At 33.4% G+C, this 9,028-nt stretch overlaps 1 annotated feature.

Annotated features, from left to right (window-relative positions):
- Nucleotides 657–1,856: an enhancer, noted in NCBI's record as "P300/CBP strongly-dependent group 1 enhancer chr4:127771052-127772251 (GRCh37/hg19 assembly coordinates)". NCBI's record gives its function as "activates an origin of replication core promoter dependent on BRD2, BRD4, P300/CBP, MED14 and CDK7 cofactors, with strong dependence on P300/CBP, by STARR-seq in HCT116 cells {active_cell/tissue: HCT116}" and the evidence as "EXISTENCE:reporter gene assay evidence [ECO:0000049][PMID:35650434]".

Genomic DNA, 9,028 nt, shown 5'->3' on the forward strand with positions numbered 1-9,028 from the left:
AAGAGAATGAGAGTAATTACTAACTGTGAATGCAGATTTCCATGCTGTCAAATATGCTTTAAAAGAGAGCAAGGAAATTAGAGAATAGCTAGATGGAAATGGGAAGAGAGGTCAAAGAAGATTTTGAGTTTTCTTCTTTGTTTTTAATTTGAGGGTATTATTGCTTTTTTTAAAAAAAAAAAAGTATCCAGTAATAAAAAGAAAATTAATGAAGCAAGAAAGGAGAGGATTGCTGGAATGTGGTCTTTGAGTAGGTAAGAGGGAAAGGATTCAGTGCAAAAGTATAAATAGTAGCTTGAATATGAAGAATACATCCACAGTAAGAGGCAAAGTAGCAGAGTGTATAGTCATAGATGATGAGACACTAAGTAACCTGGTGCGAGATTATAGGAGATCTGGCTTCCTCTTTTATTTCTGTTAAATTGAGAATAAATCAGGAGGTACCAAAAGTTTGATTAAAGGGGAGAAGTTATGAAAAAGGCATCCAGAAAAAAAAAAATGTCCCAGGGAAATATACTATGTCTGCTGGGAAGAAGAAAAGGCACATTAGAGTTTGGTGTTCACAATGGTTGAATACATTACAATTGAAATGGAAAAGTATGAAAAGATATAGGTTCAGCAAATGAGGCTAAGAATGTTTCAGTGTATCTTACAGTATTTATATGGATATTGTTATATTTTCTTATTTTAAAAAAATAGAATCCTGTTTTTTAAAAATCCATTTCCTATAACTTCTTACATAAAGTGATGGTTCATGCAGAGAATTGATTTATTCTCTGAAGTGGACATGCCATTTTATGTCTAGCTTCCACTTTACCTATAAATATACCAGTCTTTTTCTTTTACCTAAGCAGTCAATTTTCATAACATATTAGAGCTTACAGATTAATTTCTTATATCCTTTGTTTTAATGCCATAATTGTTCAATCACCATGCCACAATTTTAGGCCACAAACTCCTGTGTAAAAGAGAAAATATTTTTAAAATTTCCATAATTCAATCCAATTTCTTGAGCTCACATTCTACAAGATTGTACAAAATTACGTATCATTTCATAATGGTCTTTTGGTAATGGGTAAAAGAAAAAAAATTATATATCACTCAGGAAACCCTCTCCTGATTCCCCAGGCATGCATCTAAGTTGTTGAGAGATGACTAATTGTCAAGATGTCATTTATCATCTAACCATACTGGCTTGAGGTATATCACCATGCCTTCCACTTCCTGCTCATGACTCATTGAGGCTGATGCTTAGTCACTCTTCTTCCCTAACCACAGAATCCTTCAGGACTGCAACCTTGAGATACATCTGTCACCTCGTGCCATGCTAGACTGAGATTCCCAGTGGCTTGGAGTAGCAGGGCTGGGGGTAGGGCAGAGTGTCAGGGATGGAAAGGAGAGGTGAGGGCAGGTAGACATTAAAGCACTCCATCTTGCTTTCTCTCTCATTCTTCAGGTTGTTCCCCAATCCTAGAGAATCTACCTAAACTTCATAATGGAAATAATTTCTCTGCCTCAACATACAGTTTTCACTGTTATACTTGAATCTACTCTGTTATTCTCTGTTTCCCTCAGGGACTAATTTTTTAATGGACAAATCATAGTTGTATACATTTATGGGGTACAGAATGATCTTTTGATATATGTATACAATATGGTATGATTAAATCAAGGTAATTAACATATCCATTACCTTGCTTAAAATTTTGATACTCAAAAACCAGAAGAGATTTTTTTCTTCCTCTGTTTTCTATATAACTGATTCCAATATGTCCCTTTTCTCAGGCCCTCAGGTAGTTCAGAACTACCAAGCTGCTATCCACACAACTATTATTGTCACCAATTTTAAAGAGCAGAGTGCCCAAGTGTTACAGAAAATAAGGGGAAAGAGAGAGAACATTAAATGTTTCAAAACCCTTTTCCTGACTCACTAATTGTGATAATGATGGCTCCACATCCACTGAGCTAAGAGGTGAGATGCAGAATATCACAATAGAAATAGAAATTTTAACACTGGGGATGACTTCCTCATGAAAACTTTATTAAAGGAAGCGGCACAAACACAGGGCATATTTACACTTTCAGCATTTATCACTTAAAATTAGCCCAATTATATTGTGGGAATGCCAATAAAAAGAAATTTTCTCAAAAAAGCAGAAAGAAATCTATTTCTATGTATACTTAAGAAAATCTGGCCACTTAACCGAAGTATGCTTCACAATAAAATCAAGTCAGAAAAACTAGAGTGTTTTCAGAATTTCAATCCCTGCTCTCAGTTCCAGCACATCTGCAGGAGTAATAAGTTTTCTGATTTCTAAGAGGCTTGTGGTTAACCTCACAGCATGGAATGAATTATTTACAATTCTATCCTTCATTAAAACACCCTTTCCATGAAATGTGTCAATGAAGTCAGAACCTGGCTGGCCACTGATCAACCAGAGCACTGACCATCCCCTTTTTCTGTTTCCATTGTATTGCTTAATTACAACAAAATGTAGTCATTTATTCCCAAAAGTTTTAAACTGTTTATGTTGTGCCCTCACTAAAAACACCTATAATGTTTTAATTTGAACAAGGTGTATATGTACATGTATAAAAGTTAAATCCATACATGTGTAAACACAAGTATCTTTGACCTCAAATGAGACAGAATCATGAAATTTAATCATTCCTTACTCAAACTGCGCAAATATATTCCTTTGAAGTATACTTAATAACATTTAGAAAAGTCTTTAACTCCTAACCTTACCCACAAAATATATAATCCTCAAAGAGTGCTTAAGTTTGAGAAAAAAACAAAAGAGAATGTCACTCCAAAAGTTGCTTTGGCAACGTTAACTCCACATTTTCAGTTCTGAGCACACACAGATTACTCTTCTGCCATTTCCAATACCTCCCTTTTCACCTCGAGTTCTTCATGAGCTCCATAGAAGTGAGTGAATTTACATAAATGGTATTGTTCATTATTTTTTTAAATTCATGTATTTACTACTATGACATAATCAACATAAATCTCCCAAAATTAAAACCAAAGTATCTCCTCAATTGAGTACTTGGGGAAATTTGCCAAAGGCCATTGGCTAGACTCTGGCTGAGGACTGTAGTTAGGAGTCATTACCTTCCAACAGCTGCTTGAGATGAACAGGTAGGTTCACTGGGTAATAAAATAACAATATTTGCACCTGATTTGAAATATATAGAAATCCAAAACTGAACTGCATACTCTTATAAGTAAGAATTCCATGAGGGGTCAGTGACTATATTACCCTTCAAAACCTTTACATTTGTTCATATACCAGTGTCAGAAAAAACAGAAAATAGTTAAATATTTAAATCTCATTTCAAGAAGACAACATACAATTGGCTGGGTGAGGCGGTTCACACCTGTAATCCTAGCACTTTTGGGGGCCGAGGCAGGTGAATCAAAGGTCAGGAGTTCAAGACCAGCCTGACCAATATTAGCAAAACACCATCTCTACTAAAAATTCAAAAATTAGCTGGGTATGGTGGCATACTCCTGTAGTCCCAGCTACTCAGGAGGCTGAGGCAGGAGAATTGCTTGAACCTAGGAGGCAGAGGTTGCAGTGAACCATGATCACGCCACTGCACTCCAGCCTGGGTGACAGACCGAGACTCCATCTCAAAAAAAAAAAAAAAAAAAAAGCACGCATACAATCTAGTTTCCCTTCCTCAAAAATTTAACAAACTTTATTTTCAGGCACTTTAAAGGCCATTAGCAAATAACCTTGTTCAATTTACACAAAGGATCTTAAAAGGAAACATATTTTTTAAGTTTGAATGATTCACTACTTTAAACACTTAAATATTTATGTTGATACATGTGCCAGAAATAATTATTAGAGTGCCAAACCACACATCAAAATCAGGTGTTTTGTTTTTAAATTAATATATACTACTTGTCTTTTTTATCCATATATATCATATAACTTATTAATGTGGAGTTTTATAATATTTATTATGAAATTTCTCGTTATTAAATGCACATTTTTCTCAACTTCTTATGATTTCTACAGCTGTATTTGGAGGTGTAGCTTGATGAAGAAAAATATTGGCATTGTTGTAATGAGAAATAAGAATACTTACTACTTAATAAGATTTACTACCACCCTGTGGGAAGGATGTCTAACACAAGCTAGCATAATCAAATTGTGTCACGAACTATTTTTATACAGATTATAAGACTTTCTAGAATTGATCCTGACCCTCCTAACCAAAAGAGTCAAGGGATCATTTTTTATTTTTTCTTTTGGCACCAAGAGAAGTCCTAGCTAACGAGTACTATAACTTCACTCCCTTCTCCTGTTCCAAAAGAATTCTTGTCACTGATATATAAAACAATCCTTGGAAACATATTCTCTTCAGAGTGGGGATTATAAGTTATCTGCATTGATAACAGATTTATGCATTACATGCAACTTTCTTTACAAAGCCTTCCTTTTAAATGATGGAAAAATTTATAATAATATTTTGGTTAATTGTCCTTATGTTCAAGTAAATTCTTTTCCATATCTGTAGTTTTTTTTTTTTTTTTCTCAAAGAATCCCTCCATTATGATGTTGGAACTGAAATAGCTACATGAATGTTCTCTTTAATGCAAATGAGTTATTACCAGGTTCAGGGAAAATAAAAAGATAATTTTTAACAATGATGGCTAAAATGGTAGGGTTTCCTTGTTTCATTTCCTCTTTTTGACAAAGTTTTATACAAAAGTAGTGAAGATGCAGATTCAGAAAGTTCTGAATTAAGATTCTAAATCAAGGCCAATTTATTTCAAGTACCAAGTAAATTCTAAGTTCTTTATATATACATAAATACAGAACTCTCTCTCTCCCTCTCTCTATATATAATAGGTGGTAGTTTCTACATGAGCTTTGTAGGGGGATTAGGTAGGGTCTTTGTACCCAAATCATTTCTGCCATGACCCATGTGCATAGCACCTATATGCTATGTTAAATGCTATTTCCCCTTTTCTCCCTTCTAGTTTTTCAGTATTTTCACCCAAGCATTTGATTAAACTACATGTAAGCCTTTAAAAATCAAGAAGAAAAAGACTCCAGGAGTTTCGGTGTCTTTGGGATTTCATCAACAAAAGCTACATTACTACTTTCCTGAGAGCCATCTCTGTCGTGTCCTCTTTTGATCAGCCGCTGGATCACTTCTCTATGCTTCTTAGGACAATTTTTCATGGCCCCACTGCTTCACATTTATTTAAGTATAGGTATTATGGAGGCCGTTGAATCACAAGCTCCTTGAAGTCAGGAGAATTTATCTTATTCGTCTTTCTATATCACACATCATTTATTTAATATTATATTTTAGATGATCAATGTAGGTTGAATATTATTTTAAACTCAAACAGATTTTATGTTTTCTCATAAGAAAAAAATTATAATACATTCTGATAATCAAAAAAATCTAATGCAAAGGAACTGAGAAAGTCATCACCACCTAGTATAAATGCAGTTGATACTCCTATGCCTTTTAAAGGGGAACTTTTAAAAACATTGTTCTCAGAGATGCCTCAAATGTCCATCAGAAACCAATGATTCAGGACAAAATATTTCAAAACTGTAAGCTTCTTCAGTTATCCTTAAATAAGAACACCTAAGCTATTTTAACATAGCACACTTTTTAGATTGGCCACAAATCATTATTTATCTTCACTCAAATAGCTTAAATGTGTTTCCCTCTAAACATACTGCTACAATTTAGTTTTAGCTCTCCCAGGAAAAACATAATGACTGTACTCGTTGTATGAAGTGCAAATTAAACCCAGAAAAAAGGTACTACAAAGAACATTTCCACACATGCCCTCCATCCCAGGTCCCTAGAAGATTCATAAGGGCATTCAGTACCAAGAGGAGAGAGGCACATTAACAATTTAATTTAAAATCCTTTGGTAATTTGCAATGGAAACTTATGAGAACTGGATTTAATCTAAACTGTGTCTAAGCTCTATGATGTATAAATACTGTTTTCATCTTGTATTTCAGGCAAAAATACTGAATAGTGAATACCAAAGAGTTTGAAGATTGGGGTTAAACATGAATAGAAAATGCCTTTTGTGTAATCATCACTGAAATGTATCTTTATGTTACTAAATTCATTCTCCTTAGCTTTACTAGGATTCCTTAAAGCATATGCCTCAAATTCCACAAGGAACTATTTATTTCTTCTATAATTATGGAGTTGCCCATCAGATGAAAGTTTCAGAGGGCTGTCCAGTAAGATTAATGGAGGCACTTTGACGGAAGTATTTGCTCCACGCTCTCAAGAATACAGCTGCCTCCGTAATTCTTCTGAATGAAAGGTGAACCTGCCCTTGCTCACGTGTCTTGGCTGAGGTTTTTATTATTATTATTATTATTATCATTATTATTCCTGAAAGGCTTCAAGGACTTGTACTCTCAAGAAGTTACAGTACTCATATATAATGTTTGAGTCATCCCTGTATTTGATCTTGGATAAGATTTTACCGTTTTACCCAGGCTCTGTTAGCACCAGAACCTAGACTATTCGTGGTGGCAGCACATAGTGGGTGAACCATTCCACAAGATAAAATAACTTGCCTATGCAAAGGGTTATCTAGTGTTTTCTTCTAGTGTTGTGAGTGTACATTTCAGGTTGAATGAAAATCACTTATCATGATATTTAAGACTCAGATCGTGGAGTCATACTCAAAGAGACTCTGATTTAATAAGTTTACTCAGTCAGAATAATTCTTTCTTTATTTTTAAAGAAGCCTTAGATAATTCTGATTAATATAGACTATGGAGTCATCAATGCTTTGAGCTGCATATGGGAAGCACAGTATTTGAAAGCACAGCTTTCAGAACATAAAAGCTCATGTCTCCATCATTACACCATTTAGAGAAACACTGGTGTTCATGTTTCTAATACAGCATTTCTATCCTAGTCCATTAAGCTCCCTAACTCTATACTATTTTGGCTTAGAAAGTTGAGAATTAATTCAAGAGTATTTGAAAAGGATTTGGCATGTTTTATCAAATATTTCTTATTATGAAATATTTCTAATTTATGACACAATGATGTCTCTAGCACTTAACAAGCTGGAGAAGGGAAGAATCATTCCAATTATTGTAATCATCATAATGATAAGTGAATTATAAAATTATGTCTATTTATTTGAAAGAACAATTTCTGCTCCACAAACTATAGAGTTCCTGAGGTTATAGTGATCTCTAAACTGTTACCATAGTTGATCTTTTTTGTGTGGTTTAAACACCAGCACTTTTCTTAAAATCACACTAAGTATTTTGTCTTAATAGTACTTAAAAGGCTTTCATTTGACATGATGCTATTCTCTTTTAGGATGTTTCTCACTTTAGAGCTTAAATGTTTAATCCCTTCAAGTGAATATAGCTACAAGAAAACATATATGAAGAACTCTGGTGGGAGAGTAGAAAAACCAAGGCTTTAAGTATGATTCAGTAAGTTGGTTAGCAATTCCATGTCTCCTTTTCATTGGTAAATAGGAAAAGTAAAGAACAATAGTAATTGAGCTATTTAAAAACAAGGACCGAGCATGAAGATTCATTTAAGACAAGGAATTATACAAGTATCATATCACCAAATGTGTAACTACAGAGCAATTTGGATACAGTACATAGAAATGTTCAACAGTTAAGCCAGTGGCTTGCAAATGTTTTGGTATTAGAAATCTATTATATTATACTTGCAAAACAAATTGAGAACCATAAATAGATTTATTTGTGTGGAAATATACCAAATTAGAAATGAAAATTGAAGCATTTTAATTATTTATTTACTCATTCATTTAAAATGCCCTCCCAGGATGTGGCACTTAATCCTCATCTCTACCCCGTCCGGAGTCTGGTCTGGACTTGGGAACTCTTAGTCACTCACTTGCAAAGAACAGAATATAGAAAGGGAAAAAAAATGGTAACTTTGTAGTTAAAATTCGTAGAAACTACCTTAAAGAAGTAATCATGGTTAACATAACAAGTGATAAGTCATATCAATTTCCTGATAATATAATGAGAAGGGAACTTCATTTCTGTATTATTCCTCCCCAAAACCCATAACTCCGGTCTAACAAGGAGAAAATTCAAATTGAAAAACATTCGTCAAAATAGCTCACCATTTTCTTCAAAACTGTCAAGATCACACACTCAAAATAAAGACTGAGCAATTGTGGCCAGAAATACAATTAAATGCAAAGTGGAATCCCAGATCGGACCCTGGAACATAAATAGGCAATAGTGGGAAAACCCTTAAAATGGAATAAAGTCTGAAATTTACGTAGCACTATGCACCAACATTAATCTCTTAGTATGATGAATGTACTATAGCTGTAAGGTATTAATTCAGGGGAAAACTCGGTGAAGAATATACAGAAATTTTCTGTACTATCTTTGCAACTCTTCTATACATCTAAAATTATTTCGAAATTAAGTTTATTTTTAAAAGATTAAAGACCCCAAGGAATTTTTGTTTATGTAGGTTCTATTTATAGATACATACAATATTAAAAAGCAGAACAAAAATATTATCTATTTATTAACTCATTGAAACCAAATAACAAACCTATAATACGTTAACATACATTTTATATTTTCATGAAAATAGGCAAAAGGAAGAGTGTTTTACATTTTGAATTTTTTAAATATTTGGCTTAATAGAAGACAGTTGGATTCTCATTTCTGCCTATAAATATAATATGTTGTTTTCATTGAATTATGTGAAGAAAGTTATTCTTCACACAGATACAGACTTGAAAAAAGGAGAAATATTTTAGTAGCCTTTTGGACAGTAGTGGATATTTTATTGTGTGTGACTACACCAAAACTTTACAATTTGTTTATGCTTAAAAATTAGTTTCTTGGGGAAAGTACATTCTCCTCAATAAATGTTGCCGGTAAAACTTGATATACACATGCAAAAGAGTGGCTAGACTATTATGTTACACTAATAATACAAAAATACTAATACAAAAATTAATTCAAAATGCATTAAAGACCTAAAC

This window comes from Homo sapiens, chromosome 4, assembly GCF_000001405.40.
Source record: "Homo sapiens chromosome 4, GRCh38.p14 Primary Assembly".
NCBI classification, from domain to species: Eukaryota; Metazoa; Chordata; class Mammalia; order Primates; family Hominidae; genus Homo; species Homo sapiens.